This window comes from Homo sapiens, chromosome 20 (assembly GCF_000001405.40).
Source record: "Homo sapiens chromosome 20, GRCh38.p14 Primary Assembly".
Lineage (NCBI taxonomy): Eukaryota > Metazoa > Chordata > Mammalia > Primates > Hominidae > Homo > Homo sapiens.
Window position 1 is genome coordinate 7,145,252 of NC_000020.11, and position 23,711 is coordinate 7,168,962.

At 37.0% G+C, this 23,711-nt stretch overlaps 1 long non-coding RNA gene across 1 annotated transcript in view; it reads right to left on the reverse strand.

Annotated features, from left to right (window-relative positions):
* Positions 1-1,215: 1,215 nt before the first annotated feature.
* LINC01428 (long intergenic non-protein coding RNA 1428) overlaps positions 1,216-23,711 on the reverse strand; it is a 107,736-nt gene continuing 85,240 nt past the window's right edge. Inside the window, exons 6-8 of the long non-coding RNA NR_110609.1 lie at positions 2,750-2,948; positions 1,927-2,122; positions 1,216-1,396 (exon numbers count right to left, since the gene is read on the reverse strand). This is a non-coding gene — a long non-coding RNA (long intergenic non-protein coding RNA 1428). The remainder of the gene's footprint in view (positions 1,397-1,926; positions 2,123-2,749; positions 2,949-23,711) is intronic.

The following is a 23,711-nucleotide window of genomic DNA, read 5'->3' on the forward strand; positions in this document are numbered from 1 at the left end:
GTTTTCTAGTAAGTTCTGAATGCTTTTCTTGCCCACTCAATTCTAAGGGGGAAAAAATTGGAAATTAAGCAGGCAGGTTTGTCTTTGATCAAAGAAATGCTTCATTTGACATAAACACTTTAAGTGAAAGTATATTCAAAGTATATATATATATCTAAAATAAATAAATATATATTATATATATAACCACTTCTATTAGTCTACCCAATTAACAGTAAATGCATTTCATCATTTTGAAAGAATTTCCTTAGAATTTTGTTTTGTTTTGTTTTTTGCAGAAGAGGGACTTCTGTACTTTTAATGGCTGTCTTCTTTTGTACATTCAATGAATACAAATTTAGAGATGTAATGCTTGTGTCAGTCTCTTTGGGCACGTGGAAATAGAAAACAGAAAATAAACAAGTTGACAAAACTGTGCAATTCAATCAACTCTATTTGCATAGTCTTATTTGAACTTAGTTTTATATATACATATATAAAATATATAATGTAGTATTTTAATTTTAATTTTGAATTCTTGTTCTACTATTCATGAAAGTATCTTTATTCTATTTCTACAGGATCGTTTTCTCCACAAATTAACAAATCTTCTTTCCAAACATGCCCTGCCTGTGGCATTTCAGTGAATTCACAAAGCAAACTTCTGATTTACAGAGAGTGGCTGCTCATAAAATCTTAAGTAAAAAGAAGTCTCATAAATACAAATGAGGCTGGTTTTTTTTTTCAGATTACTAAAAAGATAGCAAAGAGGAGAAGCATGTAGTTTTATCCAGATTCCTAGATGGAGACAGTGAATAAGTTTTCTAAGAAGAGGAACAAGATTTTTAGCTTCAGAATGTAACCCAAGTTTAGCAACATCACTTTTCTTAAAATGTAGGGAATGTTAAAAAAGTATCTTGTTCTAGGCAACATGTTGATTACGCATGAAGAAAACTGGCTTATTTATAGACCTTGAAATGTTTGGTACACCTGAGGAATTCAACTACCTCTCAATTAAGATAAAACAAAGTTTACAAAAATAAAGATTTGACTGAGGGAAAAAGAGACATACTCTTAAACGTACCCGTCCTTTAACTGTCTTCTAAGGAATTTTTGTTTTGTTTAGGTTTTAATGTCCACCAACAGTGGAGTTGGCTTCCCGGCTGTGAATAGATTCATGGAAGATGAACAAAAACAAATGAACAAATCAATGACAACAACAGCAACATCTGTGCATACTATAGAAGCAGATGTGTAATTATTTTGTACATTGGCTTAATACTGAGAAAGAGACTGAATAATTATTGCACTTCTGGCAAGTCTATATATACTGTCTCCTGACGAAGGACCCTCCAGCAACTTCGGGCTGAAATGAAGCAGATTCACTCAATCCGCACAAACTCTCAGAAAAGTGCATCTGGAAAAAAAAAAAAAAAGTGACAGGGACTGAGTCCCAGAGATATTCCCCAGGAACTCTCCCCAATCTGTGGTGCAATATGTGGTCTGACACAGCTGGACACCAGGCAGCACTTGGCCACCAGCCCTTCTGGCTGGACTCCTCCCCAAGGTAGGGTTTACCCTCACATAAAATTGCCAACCAGGGCCCACTTGGGTATAGAACTAATTTAGCCTCCTGTACACTTGATGAATGAAGAATTTCCTCTGGGGACTAAATTATAGGGCTTGTTGGAGTTGCTCTTTCGTGATCTGTTATTTGGAGGTAATTTTCCAAAAGGGCTGGAACACATGGCCATGAGCTAGAATAGGATTCACCATGAACAGCTGCCACGCGCTGGCCGGCACATCCCAGTGCCCTTGTCCTCTCCCCCAGCCTCCCCTGCCACTACCCCTGCTTCCCGAGAGAGGAGGTCCAGACAACAGGGCTGGACTTAACGTTAGATCTTTACTTTCCTTCTTAATTAAACCACTAGAATGGAATCTGCCCACCTTTTTCTGCACCCAGGTTTCCAGAAATGTAACATCTTGTCGTAACACGTTTCAAAACAGATGACAGGCCTTCCCCTCATCCTCCAATGTGGCTGATTACAAGCTTCTGTCAAATTCCACCAACCCCCACCAACCCACCCCAGTTGGCTGGAAGATAAGCTTCTGATCTTCCCTTGGCTTTTTGAACTGTTGGAAGCTGTGTAAACACAAGCTGCAGGTTAGTCAGATTCTATTTGACCCACGGCCTGCTGAGTGCAAAGAGATTACATTTGAACACTCCCTTGTCTAATTAAGCAATGGTGACCTATTGCGGGGTGCTTGCTGATGAGGTCAAATAGCAAGGGTTTTTAGGCTGACCTGTTGCAGCTGGTCATTTGCTGATAAATAAGAAACAGCTAGTTTTTAGTGAGCCAACTTCCCGACAGAGCCTTCCTTTCATAAAGCACTCTAATTTGGTTATTTCTCTGAATTTCTTAAGTGAGTTTCAGTACTTTAGAAAAATTTTTAGTACTGAGAGTAACAGACATTTGTCCTATGATGGAAACCCTTCTTCGCACAGCAGTGCCCCTTCAAAGGATCTACAAACTGTTATGCTGTGCCTCTAGATCTTTTTAGACCACCAACTTCTTCAAAATTGTGAAAGATGAAGGTCATTTTGAATGTTGACATTTGGATGGGATATGATGGTGATAGTGGGACAGGAAGCCCCAAGAAATAGATCTCAAGACCTTGACCTAGCTACATAATCAGAATCATTTATTGAGCATCTGCTCTGTAGTAGACGCTGTTGTAGGATCTTTTAATCTTTATCTCCACTCCTTACCATGATCGTCACAGCAAGTGCCATTATCCTTGTTTCATTGCTAAGATTCCTGAAGCATAAAGAGGTCAGAAACTTTCACAAAGGCTTGCAGTCATGAAGCGGAAGGTCTGGGAGCTGATCCATAATTCCCATGGCTTTACGGGTTGTTCATTTCAGGAAGCTGCCCAATTTCCTTGTGGAAGAAGTGTCTGAAGGCCACCTATGGGGAGCAAAATTTGACGGATGAAGATTTTATCTGTGAATAAGAAATAAAATAAGAAAGTGATATCTTCACTTTGTATCTAAAATGTTGGAACTGTAGACATTGAAAAAGTTATCAATGAAGCCCTCGTATTCACCACCATGTCCCTACATAGGTTATCCCTAAACCTCTGTAGAGGGTATCTGTTTTTTCTGCCATCAGTCTATTTCCTGAAATTCTGGAAAAAAAGTGTACACAGAATTCCTGCCTCGTCCAAAATTCAGCACGTGTGTTCTGACAGACGCAGAGTCCCCAGATGCCTGGCCACTGTGAATACCTTTGAGCCAATCAGAATCAAATACGTGTGTATGGAAAGTTCTGCCACAGACACGATTGCCCTTTCTCTTGGCCTTTAGTTGGGAATCACAGGCTGGAACTACTCCTGTCATCTTGCCACCTACCATATGTAGCCATACGGATGTATCTGAGAGCTAGAAACTGGGTCCTGGTGATGTTGGAATCCTGATGAAGCTGTGCCTAATCTCCCTTGCAGTTTACTTAGAATTTGAGAATGTTTTAGATATTTTCAAATGAAAATGCCTGAGTTTAAGTATTATTATCTTGCCAGATCCATGCACCCAGCCAATGATGAGATTAGAGTATAACAACATCTCCGTGTCTCCAAAGCCATTGCTTTTCCGTGGAACCATACTGTTATCTGAGTTAGAAAGAGGGCTTTGGGAAGGAGAGGACACACATTTTTATCAATGTGTTTTTTTTTTTTTTCCTGTGTGAGAAAGAATGGAGTAGGACAACTCTAGAATTACATCTCTTGGGAAATCTTTTAACATGACCCACAATTCCTTTTTTAACCTTCTTACAGGTTCATCATATCAAAATTTACAAATATGTCTGTCAATCTCCCACAAGGAAATGACACAAGCTCTCTAATGAAAACATTTTCTGATGCCTTGGAATTTTAGTTTTAGACCATTCTGCACAATGTCTCACATACATTTATCTGGCTACATTTTCAGTCAGGGCTGTATTTTCAGCCTCAGATGTGAAACATTTTTCGTACCCCTTAAAAACTGTAGCAAGGTCACAAAACTCATGAATTTATTGTAATAATAAAAAATGTTTTGCCCCCTGTTTTTATCAGCGGGCCTAGTTTCTAACATTACAGACGTGAATTTTTGCCCTCCTTGGAAATTCTTGCCAATTTCTTTGTCATCCACCTTCAATTATTGGTTCACAAACTAGATACAGGACTAACAGAGGCCACATCACCTCTGGATATAAAAGAAAGTTCATTTCCCTTTCATGTTATACTTCTTTTCAGGGTGAGAGAGGAAATGTACTAAAAGTACTTAGCTCTCTTAGAGATAGCTAGTTTTTCAACCAAATAATAATAATAATAATAATCAAACAAAACCATTTTGTGTCTATTGGGATCTTTGGATGTTTGATAGCCTCATATACATATCCAACCTAATAAAAATTTATCTTATTTGTACAGGATTTCAGCATTTACAGAAAACTTTCACGAAATTTATCTCATTTATTTCTCTTTTCAATCCTATAGTGTTGATATTGTTATTATTCCTATTTTAGAGATTAATATTAGGAGACTCAGGGATTAAGTGATTTGTTCAAAACTTTTCAACCTCTTCAGTGGTAGGACTGTATTTTACACTCAAATGTTCTGATTAGTGTTCAGACATTTCATGGTTACAAATAGCTTATTCGGTACCTGGATAGTTTTGGAGAGGAGAAGTCGAAGTTAGAATGCCTCCATGTTGCTTCTTTTCTCTAGGTTAAAGTGAGTGGATTTTCTAAATGTCTGAGAACAGATTGTAGTGTTTCCTGTTTATAGTGATCCCTTTGGGGAACCACAGAAATTCTGATTTTCCTGACCATTTGTCCTCCATCAGGCCCAGATGTTTAAAGGACGTTATTTTTATGTGCCAATGATTGCAGTATTTGCATGTGCAAATCATGTAATTACTTAACTACCCAAATTGTGCATGCAACTAAACTTAATTATGAACTTAGAACATTGCCTTAAGCATCTGACCCTGGAAAAATTATGGTGGCAGAAAATGAGTGTTAGAGTGGAAATTTCTTGCAAGGCTGATTTCGTTGTTGTCATTGTTTCATGGAAATCTATGTTAAGTTGATTAAGTTGCTTTCTTTACCTCAGTTGGAACATCTGAGAATGAAAACAGTGCTTGTACTACCTACTTTCACTGGGTCATGAGGAGAAAATTGAGACCATGCATAAAAGTGATTTGGAAAAAAATTATAAAACATGAAAAAAGGTATTCTTTTTTTTTTTTTGAGACAGGATCTCACTCTGTTGCCCAGGCTGGAGTGCAATGGGATGACCACTGCTTACTGCAGCCTCGACTTCCTGGGCTTAAGTGATTCTCCCACCTCAAACACCTGAGTAGCTAGAACTATAGATTCACACCACCATGCCCGGCTAATTTAAAAAAAAATGTAGAGTCAAGGTCTGGCTATGTTGCCAAGGCTGGTCTTGAACTCCTGAGCTCAAGAGATCCTCCTGCCTCAGCCTCCAAATGTGTTAGAATTACAGGCATGAGCCACAGTGCCTGGCCAAAAAAGGAAATATTATTTTTGAATGGCCTCATTAAACTCCATTTTTGAAATATGTAGAAATTAACATTTTATATGAATCTTTTGTTCATCTACCCAAATACTATACGTCATACTACGATAAAATTTGAAAAATAAAATTGTAAAAAAAAAAGGAATATTATTGTTATTTATCTTTAGGCTGCATAACAATTTCTCATTTCCCTCTTCTAACAATACTATGTGGCATATAGAGAAGGAAAAGTTAGCTACATACAGTTCACATATATGGAAACTGAAGCTCAGTTCATTTAAAGGACTTAACGTTAGTTACATGAGAGTTTAAGAGGCAGATTGATAATTTAGCACCAGGTTGTGTGACTCCAATGTCAATAACTTAGACATTCCTGATAAAGAGACCATGTTCTTTGCCATCAGTAGTTATAGACATGTTTGAGTCAGCCACTCAATGTATTTAAAAATGTATACTTTCCAATAATTTAAGGAATGTAATACCTTGTCTTGAATTAACTTGCAGATTACGATTGCATTCTATGTAAGAAAAGGACTTGCTAAGAAAACTAATGATATACTTAAGAAGGCGGAGCCTCTTAAGACTTACTTAAGAGAACAAATTCGATGGGTTGTGATTGTACTTTACCCATTTGTTGAAACAGATACAAAGGGTACAGGCCAGATCCAATTCAGTGAGCAGTTTTAGATTAGGTTCCTTTTCCATTGAGATAAAAGTCACATTACTCTCCAAGTTTTCTATTATTTGCCTAACCTTTCCACCCAATTGCTTATTACAGTGAAGTCATTATTGTAGTCATTAGAGTATTATCGGATAAAAGCATGCATACATTTACATAGTTCTTCCAATAATATCTCATTGGGTTTCCAAGCCTTTGAGCAACTTTGAAGGTTCTAAAGTGCTTGAAAGATGGAAAGGTTTTGCAGTCTCTAGATCCAAATGATGTTTTGAAGGTGATTCAAGAGTATGTGGCAAGACTGGAATATTTGTCCTTGAGTCTGACTCTACATTCTGATCTCTAACCACGGGGTGTTGCCCTCTCCCTCTGTGAGCACGGATGTCTCCAGACAGAAAAAAACCAGAGATATCTTGGACATTAAATAAGGGTGTTTCAAAGAATATGGGCCACTAAGTCATCTATACCCAATGACTTGGCAGGAAGTAGAATCATCACCTCCTTTTAGAGTCATGATATGTCTGAAATTGTGTTTATTCTGGTAAAATAAACAGTCATTAGCATGATTCACACTTTTTCCAGCTTTAGCAAAGAACAGATAAATTATCTACTATTATCCTCCTCTACCTTTTACCTCATTTTTGAGAAATCAAATGTGTTTATATGAATAGCTACCATTTCTTAAGACTTTACCTAGTGCCTGTCCTCTTGCTAAACACAAATCTATGCCTTATCTAAGCCTCCACAATAGCCCATTATGAGTTAGGCATTATTCTTTTCCTATGTTTACAGATAAGGAAGTGGAGGTTTAAGAGGCTTAAGTAACTTGCCTAACCTAACATTGTTTGGCTTTTATTTGTAAGTACTTCTTTCAGTTACCTCTGCACTCTGAAAATGCTTCAATGATGACTCCAAGACAGACATGCCAATGACAAACATACTGATACTTAAATAGATTTTCTTCTGTCTCCATATGTGCATCAGATGAAGACATGAAGCTACAGGTTCAGCTCTTATTGAAAAATTGCATTCGTGCCTTGAGTTTCTCCATTGAATAATGTAGCATTGATATATTAATTAAAAATAATTTGTGACATTTTCTCATCACCTATGAGATATCACTTTGAAGGCACAGTTGTGATAATAAAAAGAATGCTTTAAAGTAAATTTGAATTCCTTAGGAGGTAAGCTTTATTTTCAAATCTTTCTGAGTAAGATTATAGCAAGAGGCTGAAGAAAACTTCTAGCATAGTGAGGTGGGTACACTATGGAAGACTTTCTTAAACATCCAGTGTCCCTGTCAATTAATTGTAGATAGTGTAAGTTCAATTTGTCTACAGAATGAATTTCATCTTACTTGACAAGACACCAAGTTCTTCTTCCTTCCCTCATATTTAGAGGTTCTTATTAGCTTAGATCAGTGTAACAGACACTTACAGTCACCTGCTAGGCTGCAGCTATGTGTTGGGGACTGAGGATATAAAGCTGATGGAACAGTCCAACAGGGAGAGACATAAACATAGGGGGTAGATGGAATTTCAGAGCTAGCACTAAGAAAAGGCTCTCAGGCCAGATTCTCCAGCTGGGGCCAGGTAAAGGAACTTCATCCTAAATCTGTTTCATATAAGCACCTCGATTTTTCTAGTTTGGGGTTTCTGCCCTTAATTTTTACATAATAGCTTGTTGATGCAAATAAAGAGGCAAAGGTTCTTCCTCATTTCCCTCTGGGATCAATGGTGGAAGGTTGGTCGATGTGATGCCAGTGACCTGTGGTAGTAGCACAGGGGTCTTGACCAGCTCTAACATGCTAGTAAAGTCCTGACAAGTTCATCGTTGACCAGAAAAAATAATCTAGAGCAACAGTAGCCACTAGCCACAGTCGCCTATTGAAAACCTGAAAGGAGGCTGGCGTGAGTTGAAATTTACTGTCAATATAAAATGCACATTGGAGTTCAAAGACTTAATATGAGGAAATAATGTAAAATTTATATGTAACATTTTTATGCTGAATACTTCATGAAATAATAATATATTGGATACGTTGTTTTAAATAAAATATACTCTTGAATTTAATCTCATTTGTTTCTTGCTCCTTTTCTTAATGTGACTATTAGAACATTTAAAATTACACAAATGGCTCATATTATATTTCTACTGAATAGTGCTGGTCTAGAGCCTTCCTACTCTCATTGATGTAACCCTTTTCTAAGACATTTGCTTGGGAGAGAGAATTTATCTTTTATGTTAAATGGCCTCCCAAATAGCAGAGAAACATTCTGAACCAACACTATTTTTCTCTTCCTGTTTCTGTACTGCCATCTAGGTTGTTATAAAACGTTTTAAATATTATCTATTAAATACCAACAAAGTGTAGAAATTATAAAAGAAAAATATTTAGAAAAAATAGCAAAAGTGAATCTTAGAATTTGGAAAAATGTTGTTATGAAACAAAATTAGCAGACAACTTTTTTTTTTAAATGCTCCTTTAACTACAACTTTGTGAATTGCTCAAAACCGAATTCTGCTTAAAATTTTCGTGGTGTTAGCATCTCTTGAATGCTGTTGGTTTCAAAGTAGATTAAACTTTAACAATTATGATTGAAGGTTTACTATTAAAAAGTAATTTCCATCAGGGAACCTATGCTCTGGCCCTATGCATTCTCCAATGCATCATTCGCTCTGTTTCCTTAACCATTAAAGCAAGGGGATAGAATAAACAATCTCTGTTTGCTTTGATTTAGGCAGTCTCTATTTTTTTATGTGCTATAAACCACATTTGTTTTAAAAATGGATAAATACTATAACTGGAATAAAATTTTCAATTTTTTATTCTGTTACTCTTCAAAAAAGATATCTGACTCAATATTTTCCTTTTTCACTGAAGAAATATATTATTTTTTATCTATAACCAAGGAAAAGTTGCGTAATTTATATTTTGCAGGATTTGAAAGAGTAATTTTCTTTCTTCCCCTATTATCTGACATTGAATGTTTTCCTTGATAAGAAAGAGAGGAATAGCCTATTTACTCTAAAAATGTTTTCAAAGCTTTTTAAAAGCAGCACTTAAAATTGGTTGATAAAGCAAAACTAGAGACTATTGTACAGGTATATACAATGTATAAATAATTAAAATGATGTTAAGTAGGGAGACTTATTATTTTTATTATGATCCTAAATCTGCCATATAAAAAAAGACAACAAAAACAAACTTTTACCAGCTTAAAATTGCTATGGGCATCACATAATGAATAATAAGTCAGTTACTAGAACTATACTTTATATGTATTTAATTTCATTCATTTTCAGTATTGTTTTTAGTAATAATAATAATTTTCTAAGATGGTATTAATTAGCACCTTTCCATTGGCCCACTGTAAATGATTAATATTTCATGATCTCATAGTTCTTTAATAACTAATATATTAGAAACACTAGTAATTCAGGTCTATAAAGCCAATGAAAGGCTGTTAGAGTTGTAGTTTTGTTTCTCAAACTTGCCACTTTTAAAATGTAGATATTAAACCTGTAATTCAGATGTCTACATATTATACTTTTATCATTTATTTCATATCATGTGACATAGAGGAAAGTATATTAAAATAATAGATCCCCTGTAAAATGGTGACTCTTTGTATTCCCAAATATGCACCAAAGTATTTTTTGAATAAAGACTTGTTAATAATGTGACACATTTTGACAGTTTAAAATAAGAGCTTAATCAAAAAAAAATTAAGGTGACACCTCCAATGTTTCTAAAGGTGTTTTCTCTTTCAATGTGGTTAAATGCTGGAGGAAATGCTGCTGGCATATTGTTCCAGCTGTCTTGTTCTAACTTGCTGAAATAAATAAAAGGACTCATAATAGAGTAGATAGAGAGATGGGGCCTGGGATGTTTGTTTAAAATTTCAGCCATGTTTGAATTGTAAGTGCTGCCAATAATTTCAGCCACTTGACTATGAAATGCTTCATCCTGCTCCCCAAGTGTCTACGCACGCTCTGCTCAGCTCAGGTTGCTGACAGGGCTTTCGTGTATGTTCTGAAATGAACTAACTGAACATCTGTCTCAAAGTTCTGAGTTATCTGTATAATTTGGAGAGTTGGCTTGGTGTATTTGGTCAGATTGAAGTAGCTTTGACAACTAATTGAAATAGCTTTGACAACTTGGAAATATTCGGACAATAACCACATGATAAAAAGAGAATAAAGACTTAGAGTGTTAACCTGAGTTATGACTGACCAGAGCATGGTAAACTTATTCAATATACAAGAATGAGGCTCTTAGGGATGAGCCTTCCAACTAAGTATCAGAGAACAACTACGAGAGAATTGCAAACTAACTTGTAAATGGGTATATCCACAGGAAAATAGTCTCCCAGAATACCATCTCCTCCACCAAAGTAAGTGTATGACTTTCAAGGCCTGAAGACTCCACAAGGAAAAGAGATTGGTTGACTCAAACGCATTATTGACTTGTCAGTTCTGGATTGGCTGGTTGTAGAGAAGCTTGGTGCTGGCCAATTGCTGAACCTCAGACTGTGGTTGTCAGAAGCTGTGTTGACCTTTGAGATCATTAAAGTTAAGTTCAGATAGTTCAGTTGAGTCACAGACCACAAAGCATGGTTAACCATCAGGCTGTTTTTCTGCTGATTCTGGTCCATTTTCTGATATGAGATTGTTCTGATTTCTTCTTCTGGAGAGAGGAACCCTCACTGTTTCATAATCTTTCATCTCTCTAGGTGCAGGGTGAGGAGGCAGGCTCACAGAGATGTACTTAAGGCACAGCAGAAGTTTTCCATATCCAGGCAAAGTAGGAGCTTCTTAGAGGGTTACTGAGAAATAATGAGGTAAAGCGGTAGATGTCAGTGATGAAAAGGATAAGTTGAGGTAAAACTCGTGCAAAGAGAAAATACAATGCGATCGATTCCTCTTTTACAATATCATTATCATATGCACAGTTAGGGGAGCCCTATCTGGTGATGAGATGGTCTATTATTCTGGTCTCACTTTGGCTCTTGAACTCTCTTCTCAAGTTGTCTACATCTAATATTGGGACAATGAGCACATCTCCACTTTAATTGGAGTGGTGTGGAAGCAGTCTAGACACATTCATTTTTAACCTGAATTATTAAAACAAGGCAATTTTCTCAACTGCCTTATCTAATCCCAGGAAAATGTATCCATACTTTCACGGGCCATTTTATTTTTGGTCTTTGCTGTTTCTTTAGATACAGATGTATTCATCTATACAAGCTTTCAGGTGGTAGTGATTATGCTAATATATTCACAAAGCATAGTTCTTTTTAATGAAAGGTGAAAATGATGTGTAAGGTCTAGTCTGTGCTCTCAAGGAATTTAATATCTATTGAGTGGAAAGGTAACACAAATTATAATATGGTACTTGTTTTTATAGTGGTGTTATATATAAAGGAGGTGAATAATAATTTTAGCTGGCACAGTAAAAATAGAACTCTCATAGAAAAATTTGAGTCGTATCTTGAAGTAGAGGTTAGGCAGGTGGAGAAAGACACAAAACTCTTTCCTGGCAGACGTAACTGGTTCTGCAACCTCACAGAGATATGGAACTTAATACGATGGCCAAGGAATAGTGAGCAGGGGCATGAGGCCTGAGCAGAGTCCGTGGATGAGGAAAATCCTGCAAGACAGGAAAAGAAGGGGAAAGATAAAGCTTTAAATACCAAGCTAAATATTCTGTTTTATTGTTGCTCATTATTGTGTTTTGTTTTATTATTATTATTATTATTATTAATTATTTTTGCAGTGGAGAGCCACAGCTAAATTTTGAGAAGAGAAGTGAGTTTCTCTGTTTTGCAGGTTATGTAGATGCCACTATTAGCATAGTGAAGGATGAATTAGACAATAGAAACCCGATTGGAAAGTAATCACCATAGTTCAGGTAGGAGATGAGGAAAGCCTGGATTTAAAAAACACCAACAACTGCTGGTGATAGGAATAATGGGAGGAAGGAGGCTGATCTGAGAGGAATCTTGGAAAGAGAACAGACAGAAATTGATCATCCAGTGAACACTGGTGGGGAAAAGACACAAGATAAAAGGGGAAATCAAGGCAGAGTTGCTATTTCTAGCAGAGGCCTTTGAGAAGTTATATTAAGACTCTCTTGGTTGATGATGTGAGAATGACAGAAAATACAACTCAGAAGAAAAATATAGTGTGTTAGGAGGAATAAAAATAATAAAAAAGAGTGTATTGGCTCATAACTAAAAATTCCAGGGGTAGAATGTGGCTGGGATCTAGGCATCCAAAACATGCCACCATTTTCTGAGCTCTCCTCACCTCTTGGCTTTCTTTTCCTTTATGCTGGAATTATTCTCAGGCTCTATGTGATGGTATCAAGGCAGACAGTGACTCCAGCCCAGCATCTTCACAGCAACAAGTCTAGCAGGAAGGAGAGACCTTTGTACTCCTTCCTTCAAAAGTTTAATTAGGCCACCCGCTTAGATCTGAACTCACCACTGTGGCCAGGGACATCATTCTCTGAGAGAACCCCATGAAGGAGAGAAGGAACTGTCTAGGGAAAAGTTGGAGTCCTGTTTCTAAGAGAATGGAAAATAAATTTTGACTGAGCAAAACACTGCAACTCTCACTTATAATTTGCAAAACCACTAACTAAGGTAGTGAATATAGAAAGGAGAATAGTTCAGGTGGGTGCATGAAGAAAGGAGGAGCAAGATGACAAGAAGGGTTTGTATTTCTTGCTTTGCATATCACAATATTAAATAATATCACTTTAATATTAATTAAAGTGATATTAATAATTATCACTATAGTGATTTATAGTTACCATTCAGAGCCTCATTCTACTAAAAGCAGGCAATAGATAGTATTGAGAATGTGTATTTGTAAGATATGGCATTTTTTGTATTCTTCAAAAGATTTTGGAGTACTCAGGGTGTGTACTTCTTTATTATCCATTATAAGTCAGACAATGATTTTCAGATGCATTGTAACGATGTGCACATTTAACACAGTTAGGAATGTATGCAAATTATTACTTTAATCTTTATTTCATGATTTTTTTTTTGTCCAAATGCTTGAAGATTGTGCCAGATAATAGTTTTTCCTTTCATTCTTTCTTTGTCATTGTTCTAGAGATTTCAGTTAGACAATTTATATAGAAAAACCCTGTCTCAGGGCCGGGCATGGTGGCTCACACCTGTAATCCCAGCACTTTGGGAGGCCAAGGCAGGAGGATCACGAGGTCAAGAGATCGAGACCATCCTGGCTAACATGGTGAAACCCTGTCTCTACTAAGAAATACAAAAAATTAGCCGGGTGTGGTGGCGGGCACCTGTAGTCCCAGCTACTTGGGAGGCTGAGGCAGGAGAATGGCATGAACCTGGGAGGCAGAGCTTGCAGTGAGCGGAGATTGTGCCACTGCACACAGGCTGGGCGACAGAGCGAGATTCCGTCTCAAAAAAAAAAAAAAAATAAACAAAAAGAAAAACACTGTCTCTTGGTACATTTTATGATAAAAGCATTTTATAGAAACTTTCAATTACATAGAATATTTGAGACCATATATTCTAATTAAATAATCATTTTGCTAGTGGATAATTCTTCCACGTGCTATGCATTAGTATAAACAAAGGGAATATGAATGTAGAATGCACATATTTTACACTAATCATGTGAAATATTTATTTATTTTAAAATACTGCAATACCAAGTTTCTATCACTATAGAAATGAGATATTTTGAAATAGTTATACCATAGTTTAACATGTAGAAGTTATAAGTCAGTGAGAATTTGTTAGTACTGACCTTGTGTTATAGCCTGGCAAGTGCCATTGATTATCAATATTATTTATTGCATTATGGTCTAAGCATAATTCTTATACCTTAACAGTTCTCATAGAGGATCTACATTTAAAAATAAATGTAGTTCTGAAATACTCAAGCAATGCTAATGGAAATCTGATAGTTGGATTTTATGGACATATGACATAGTAGGAAAAGCACTGGGCTCAGAAGGTACAACTTAATTCTAATACTCTCCTGTTTTTAGAAATGCAATGTTGGGGAATTCTCACATTCATAGAACCCCAGTTCCTTTTCAATAAAATAGAGAGAATTGGACCTCTGAGGGACGGTAAATATACAGAAGTGCTTCGGGGGGTTATGTGGGAAGGGGCAGGTAAGCCAGTGGGGAGCTACTGCCCAGCCGCTGCTGGGGATTGCAAATTGTTAAAGTAAAGGAGGAATGGGATGGAATCACAGTTTCCTTGGAATGACATGGAATTGAGTACAGTAATACCCATCTCTCATGATTTTCCCATGCACACCTTCCCCAGGGTCCATTTTTAAGAATGAGGCATTAAGCTGTATGTGAATGTACTTGGCAAATGGGAAAACCCTCCATGAATGCATTGTTATTATTTTGCAGTTCATCTGAGAAAAAGCTGCCATTTCCTCATACAAGATGAACTGACAGACTTTCTCTTTTTTTCCCTCCCACCAATCCAAAAAACAAGTCTTTATGTTGTTTTCATTAGATAATATTTATTGTACAGAAACAGGAAAAAGCAGGTTAAACCTATGAGTAATGTCTAGTTATTACATGAGAAAGACACAGTTCCCTAAGGGGATATAGAGTTTTCAGAATATGAAGAAATAATATTTGTGGTGAAAGGGAGGAAGAGAGAGTGATAGAGAGAGATTTTTCTAGATACAGTCATGTATATACACTCCCTGTCAAAATTCTAGACAGGATTCTATTTGGCATTCCTGACAGGATATTGTCAGGAATCAAAGTTAGCCATAATGATGGAGAATTTAATTAAAATTAGGGAGTATGTTTAGCAAAAAGAAATAACTGTTGATCCAATCATTTTAGTCAGTTTAGTAAAAAGGTCAGACTGGCTGGTATTTAGCTTTGGGTTGACACAGTCAATCCTCTATGTAGGTATTTATAGTAAGCCTGGAGGGTTTGATGAAATGTGGAGGTAATTGAAAATAAACTATAGTTTGTGGATTCTCAGGAGTTTTGGAATCTGTTATTCTCTCTGTTTAGTATGGTAATAGTTAAGCATGGCTTCAGTGATTATTACAAAGTTTTCGAAACGAAAGTATTTCTTCTCTATGAAAAAAGAAAATCTTTTGAATAATGCTTACTGGCTGTAGATAGATTAACAAAGTTAATGGAGACTTTTTTTCAAAATAAGATACTGACTTTTGATAACACATTTTAAAGAATACTTTGATAAATATCAAAATTAACCTTCCCAGCAGAATTCATTCACACATTAATTGAAATAATTTTGGTGGAAATGAAAAGGAAATTGAATAAATTTGGGGTCTTTTAAACTTTTTTACCTATCAGAGTAACTGATATTTTAAAAAATAGTAATGTTAAATGCTGATGTGGACACTGAAATGGAAACATATTACCATTAGGGAGTATGATTTGGTAATGAACATCAAATGTTTGCACGATTTTCTTCTCATAAATTTGCCCTAATACATAGTTTAAAGATACAGGTACTCATAAGGACAAACTAAAATTCAATATCACAATAGGACAGTGTTTTGTTAAATTAGTCATATTAGTTGACAAAATAATATGCAACATTAAAAATTACATTCTGGGACATTATCTAAAGATGTGAAAATACCTTCACGAAGTCAAATTTTCTTCATACAAAGTCAAGTAACAAAACAGCACTTAAGAGTATCAAGGTATGGAATGTAGAATAAACAGAAACACATTGAAAATACTGGTGGAAAGAGTGATTATTTCTGGGTAATAATTAAAAAAGGAAATTTTATTTTCTTGTTTATATTTTATTTTACTGCAACTTCTAAGTTTTTCAAAGTATATTTGTTACTATTGTAATTACAAAATGAATAGCATAAACATTTATTCTGGGGCACTTAATTTTTTACAGCTGTATGCCTCTGGCCTTACTCTCCACCTCCTCTCAGTTTAGCGCTATATAGTATTTTACTCACATCCCAAAGGGTCTCCCCCACAAACACATCCAAAGAAAGAAAAAGGGTGAAGGAAGGCAATATCAGGCATCTTCATAACATACTTTACTACTTATCTACTCCGCTCTTCCTTGTCTATTTTTAATAGTCTGATTTTTTTTTGTCAGCTCTTGCCTCTCCTTGATCAAATACTGTGCTCACGTTTTATTCTAAGTCCCCAAGTCCTCACAGATTACTGAAGGTTTAACCCAAAGTCCCTTAAGATAAGAGTACTTCTTTCACAGGATTAAAAGAAAAATCACCCTAAATAAATATCTTTGAATGTTCTTCTCACTCCTCCATTTTCCCTTAACCCCTCAGAATTTATTACTATTCTAGATCTTTTGAGAATGTATACTCTTTCCTACTACTTTCTAACCAGCTCCACCTGCTGGTGCTAACCTGTGTGTCTTTGTAATCTGCACCCTTGCCTCAGATAATGTGGGAGTTTTCCTCAAAACATGACTTCTTTTTCATATTTCTGCATCACTTAGTTCCTGGCATGAGAGGAAGTGGGGTTAGATCTGTTTTAGAATATTTTCTTTTGGTCTTAAAATTGTTTAATTTGAGTCACATTTAATTGCTTTTAGGCAAACGGATGAACAATCCTAGAAAATGGACCTCACGAGAGTATGCTGAGGTTAGGGTTTGAGGAATAAGCTGCCAATAATTACCTTCCTATTAGGTCCCTCTAAGGATAAACTTAGCAGGACTCCACTGTTTGGAGAACAGAATATTTTATTTGGGAATTCAGCAGACACTGACTCAGATTTTGAATTCTTCGCACTTTTTATGATGCTTGACAAGCAGGTATGATCCTACACCTGCTTTGAAAAATATAACTTGAGGTAAGCCGGTTATGTTTTAGAAGCTTCCTGTTCTTTCTTGAGGTCAACTGAGAAGTTCTGGCCATATTTCTGATAACTTCTCGTCTAGGAATCTCCCAGGGTACTTTGTAAGCTAATGATCCCCCATACCCACTCCTGAAAGATCTGAATCAACATTAAAATATTTTTGGCATATTCTTTTGGGGCCAAGAAAAAGAAAAGCAAAGCATAGCCAGTGATATGGTTTGGCTCTATGTCCCTACCCAAATTTCACCTTGAATTGTAATAATCCCCACGTGTCAAGGGCAAGACCAGGTGTAGGTAATTGAATCATGGTTTCCCCCATGCTGTTCTCATGACAATGAGTTAGTCTCATGAAATTTGATGATTTCATAAGCATCTGGCATTTCCCCTGTTGGCACTCATTCTCTCTTTTGCTACCCTGTGAAGAGATGTCTTCCTCCATGATCGTAAGTTTTCTGAGGCCTCCCCAGCCATGTGGAACTTTGAGTCAATGAAGCCTCTTTTCTTTATAAATTATCCAGTCTTGAGTATTCCTTCACAGCAGCATGATGACAGACTCATACAGTAAATTGGTCCCAGGAGTGGGTGCTATTATATGGATAGCTGAAAATGTGGAGGCAACTTTGGAATTAAGTAACAGTGAGAAGTTGGAACAGTTTGGAGGGCTTAGAAGAAAACAGGAAAATGTGGGAAAGTTTGGAACTTTCTGGAGACTTGGAGGGCTCAGAAGACAGGAAGATGTGGGAAAGTTTGAAACTTCCTAGAGATTTGTTGAATGATTTTGACCAAAATGCTGATATTGATATGGACAATGAAGTCCAGGCTGAGGTGGTCTCAAATGGAGATGAGGAACTTGTTGGGAACTGGAATAAAGGTTACTCTTGCTATGCTTTAACAAAGAGACTGGTGGCATTCTGCCCCTGCCCTAGAGATGTGTGGAACTTTGAACTTGAGAGAGATGATTTATGGTATTTGGTGGAAAAAAAATCTGTTTTATTTCTGTTTATTTTATTTTATTTTATTTTTTGAGATGGAGTCTTGCTCTTTGGCCCAGGCTGGAGTGCAGTGGTGCAATCTTGGCTAATGGCAACTTCTATCTCCCAGGTTCAAGTAATTCTCCTGCCTCAGTTCCCAAGTAGTTGGGAATACAGATGTGCACCACCACACCCGGCTAATTTTTGTATTTTTAGTAGAGACAGGGTTTCACCAATGTTGGCCAGGCTGGTCTTGAACTCCTGACTTCAGGTGATCCATCTGCCTCAGCCTCCCAAAGTACTAGGATTACAGGCATGAACCACCACTCCTGGCCTGGTAGAAGAAATTCTAGTGGCAAAGCATTCAAAAGGAAGTAGAGCATAAAAGTTTAAAAAGTTTACAGCCTGGTGATGGGGTCAAAAGAAAAATCCATTTTTTGGAGAGTAATTCAAGCCTGATGCAGAAATTTGCATAGGTAATGAGGAGGAGAATGTTAATCACCAAGACAATGGGGAAAATGTCTCCAGGGCATGTCAGAGACCTTCAAAGTAGCCCCTCCCAGCACAGGTTCAGAGGTCTAGGAGGAAAAAATCATTTTCTTGGCCTTACCCAGGGCCCCCCTGCTGTGTGCAGCCTAGGGACTTGGTGCCCTACGTCCCAGCTGCTCCAGCTATGGCTAAAAAGGGCCAACATACAACTCAGGCCATTGCTTCAGAGGGTGCAATTCCCCAACCTTGGCAGCTTCCATGTGATGTTGGTCCTTTGGGTGTGCATAAGACAGTTGAGGTTTGGGAAACTTTGTCTAGATTTCAGAGGATGTATGGAAATGCCTGGATGTCCAGGCAGAAGTTTGTCACATGGGTGGAACCCTCATGGAAAACCTCTCCTAGGGCAGGGTAGAAGAGAAATGTGAGGTCCGAGCCCCCCAAACAGAGTCCCTACTGGGGCACTGCCTAGTGGAGCTGTGAGAAGAGGGCCACCATCATCCAAACTGCAGAATGGTAGATCTACCAACAGCTTGCATCATGCGCCTTGAAAAGCCACAGGTACTCAATGCCAGCCCATGACTGCAGCTGTGGGCGGGTGGGTGGGGCATATACCCTGCAAGGCCACGTGGGTGGAGCTGCCCAAAACCACAGGAGCCCCCTTCTTGCATCAGTGTGACCTGGCTGTGAGACATGGAGTCAAAGGAGATCTTTTTGGAACTTTAAGATTTAATGACTGCCCTGTTGATTTTCGGACTTTCATGGGGCCTGTAGCCCCTTTGTTTTGGCCAATTTCTCCCATTAGGAGTGGCTGTATTTACCCAATGTCTGTATCCCCATTGTATCTAGGAAGTAACTAACTTGCTTTTGATTTTACAGGCTCATAGGTAGAAAGGACTTGCCTTGTCTCAGTTGAGGTTTTGGACTTGGACTTTTGGGTAAACGCTTGAATGAGTTAAGACTTTGGGGTCTGTTTGAAGGACATGATTGTGTTTTGAAATGTGAGGACATGAGATTTGGAAGGGGACAGAGGTGGAGTGATATGGTTTGACTCTGTATCCCCACCCAAATCTTATCTTGACTTATAATCATCCCCATGTGTCAAGGGCAGGACCAGGTTGAGGTAATTGAATTATGGAGATGGTTTTCCCCATGCTGTTCTTGTGATAATGAGTGAGTCTCATGAGATCTGATGGTTTTATAAGCACCTGGCATTTACCTTCTGGCACTCATTCTCTCTCCTGCTGCCCTGTGAAGAGGTGCCTTCCGTCATGATTGTAAGTTTTCTGAGGCCTCCCCAGCCATGTGTAACTATGAGTCAATTAAACCTCTTTTTTTTTCTTTATAAATTGCCAAGTCTTGGGTATTTCTTCATAGCATCATTAGAATGGGCTAACACAGTAAATGACTGTTTTGAAGGGAACATTGAAATTTAGTAAACTGGCTGTTGTTTCTTTTAGGAGCTCATTGATACTATTCACTCATTCATTTTTACCATCCTGTTGCTCCATGCATTGTAAAGGCAGTCATTGGCTTTTGGCTTGATACTGTTGGCTGTATTAGCTTGTGCCTTGTGAGATAACAAAGGGAATGTGCCAAGAAATTGGGAGAAAGTCTGTATTTTCCCATGTTTACTCTTTGATCTTACTTTTCATGTTCTCGGCTCTTGAAGGACAAAGAAGTTTGTTGTAGTCAATCCAAAGCTTCCTTCCTGCTCATTTTCCCAGAGACTTGGCCTCAAAAATTTGGTCCAGACATAATTTTTTGGCATATGGTAGATTTGTTCAGTGCCCCTCGGTAAAGACCTTTCAGATACACAACACAAATTCAACTGTTGGTTCACTACAGATTTCAAGATCATAAATCATATTGAGTCATGTCTACTAGCAATTCATTATCAGCCTTTTCTTCATATTCCCTCTGCCTAGAGTTATCCAGGATTTTTTTTTTTTTTTTTTTTTTTGAGGCAGAGTCTCACTATGTCACCAGGCTGGAGTGCAATGGCGTGATCACGGCTCACTGCAACCTCCGCCTCCCAGGTTGAAGCGATTCTCCTGCCACGTGGGTGCATGCCACCATGCCCAACTAATTTTTGTATTTTTTGTAGAGACGGGGTTTCACCATGTTGGCCGGGATGGTCTTGATCTCTTGACCTCGTGATCCGCCCGCTTTGGCCTCCCAAAGTGCTGGCGTGAGCCACCGCACCCGGCCGATCCTGGATTTTTAATAAGAATCTCTGCAATTATGAATGCACGAAACATCAGATAACCCAAATGTGAAGGACTGAAAGTGTAACCCTTGGCTATTGGCATGATCTTGTGGCTAATTACTATTTCATATTTAAGCTTTAGTATCTAGATTTTGTGGATTCTGACTCTATTATCACTTGGAATATTTTTATAACAAGACAGGTCCTATAGCAATTCCTCATAGGCAGGAATTATTTTTGCTCTGTTTTCCAAATATTTGAAGCTGAATTCATCTTTGCTCATATGAAGATGATGAAATGAAAAGAGAAACACAAGACCAAATTATTATCAAAGTCTTCCTAACCAATCTGCAGATCTCTCTCATCTTTCCTGATTTATTAATGAAAAAAAGAGGCAGCTTCTGGTGGTGGATAAATTCGTTTTAAATATCCTTGAATATTCACTAGGAATGATACTAATAATCAACTCCAGGTAACTTAAGACTATGCATATTATAGACATAAAGCTGATAGGGTATTTCTTTATGTCTTAGTATGAGGTAAAACTCCCTGAAAGTTTCCTAATATCTTTATGATTTTTTTTTTTGCTTTGTCTGATCATTTTGCACAGTAGACCCTCTCATGCTGTCATTCTGGATTTCACATCTTTTCTTCACTGCCACCTGCTTTTCTGTTGAAAACAAATATTTCCTTTAATCTCTCTTGTGTTCAGAGTACTAGTGTGTTTGACACTGCCCTCTGCTTTTACATAGTATTATCTAAAAATGTATTTAGGTTTTGATTTTCTCCAATTAAATTATTTTAAAGTTATAATGTAATTATTTTAAGTTTACAATTTTAAAGTAGAATAACTATAGATCTTATCATTTATAGGGTTTATTCTGTACTTGCTGGAGCGTACAGTTACCACATTTCTTGATCTGGAAAGTTATTTATCGCCATTTAATAACGATGCTTTTATTTTATTGAAAATACACAACTCTATTGCACATGAAAAATGTATTTGAGTGGCTGAGAAGTTGTATGAAAGCTCAGGATTAAAACCAGAAAAATTCGCTTCATATCCCGACTCTGCTGACTGTGACCTATATGCAGTGGTGAGCTGATAAATGTTTAACAACCAGTTCTCAAGCAGAAATAGTCCTTAATTTGAAGAATTTGCCAATTTCTATGTAGTGTTTCTGAATCCACCATGACTAATTTTAAGTTGCAAACTGGAAGTTGCTGAACTAAAGGTAGCAACCCACATGTAGAGATGTCTTTCTCCAGCCTGTGAGAGCCAGGTCTAGTATAACATCCACAGACTTTTGGGTATAACACTTAGCTTGCCTGAGTCTCAGTTTTCTGCTGTGTAACATAGATTGTGTTAGGATAAAATAGTCTATGATGAAGTCTTGAAATACGGTAGCTCCAATAAATTGCTTTTCTAAAATTCTCCATTAATGTAATTACTATTGCAAAGAAATATTGTATAGATTAAATAAATATATTACTTTCATAAAATCTTTGTTGTTGAATTTTTATCTCAATGCTAAACATGTTTATCTCTGTAATATTCAGTTTCTAGTATTTCATTCTGAAATAAACTATGCCTAAAATTTGTAAAAGTTAGAATTTCTGCAATTATGAAGCCAACCCCATTACTGGAGCAGTTTTGTGCTGCAGTAGCACTTAAATGTTTAGCATTAATTATTTACAATTGCAGCTGAGTTTACAACCTTCCGTCTTAATCACAGAGAGGGAAGAAGACGTGAGAATCAAAGTTAGATTTAGTTGTTTTGTTTTTTTCTACCGACAAATTTGGAAAAAAAATGTAATATTTCTGAACTCTGCTACTGAGGAGATTTGCCTTATTGAGTCATAAAGTATTTGCCACCGTCTCTAATAAGTATTGTTACATTTGACTTTACATGAGCTTTTAAATCTTTTACAGAAAGAATGCATTCTCTCATTATCTTAACTCTTTCAGATGAGCTTTCTCAAGTTGAGCCATTTGCTTTCCTTGGTCTTTCCTGCCCAGCAGTGCTGGTGACATGAGCATCCTCTTGCTCCAATGCACCTTTCTTGACCTGACTTGACTGCTGGCTTTGATTCAATTATTTGACACTTCTTCCCCAAAGAAAATGCTGGGGTGATAAAACAGAGGTGACAGGAGAGTAGGTAAAACTGGTCAGCAATAAATCAATCAAACAAGTACTTATCCAACACTTCCTAAGTAGCAGAGACTGTGGTGTAAACCCATAAAATCCTCAGAGAGAGAGAGGAAAGGAAAGAAGCCAAGAGCAATGAAATATGGAAGAAGGAAATATTTAAGAAGTGGCTCATAGGTGTAAGATTCAAAAATAAACATTAAAAATCAAGAAAGGCACAAAATATATAAAATAGTGCAAAGAAAAAGGCTTACATATTTATTTCCAATTTAGTCAAATATATGCAATATTAACAATACCCAAAGGTAGATGTCTTGTCTGTTTAATACTGTCTTTTTATATTTCATAAGGTACTGTTTCATCTTCCAAAGCTGATTAGAAATCCTGCTGCTTCAGTGTATTCTCTGGGTGCTTCTCATCCATTCAAACCTTCATTTAGTGAAATTCCATGAAATTTTAATGAAATAAATATAATGACAGCAGGCATATTTCCCCACCCTAATTTTCCCCCAAACTGACGTGTTAGAAGATGACTTCATGGATATTTATTTGATGTTAGAGGTATGGGATTTGGATTTTGAAAGTTTATGTTTTTTCTTTTCACCAAATATGAAAATTAAAGGAGGCAGATGACACAACAGTTAGGAATCAAGTGTCCCAAGGTAGGTAGGAATCTTTTTACATTTTAACAAATTGCTCAGTCCTGCAAAGCTACAAATAGTGTTGTTTGCATTTCAAGTTTCTTGGAGATTGCTTGACCTCTTAAACTCCATAAAAAGAAATTATTTCTATATAGAG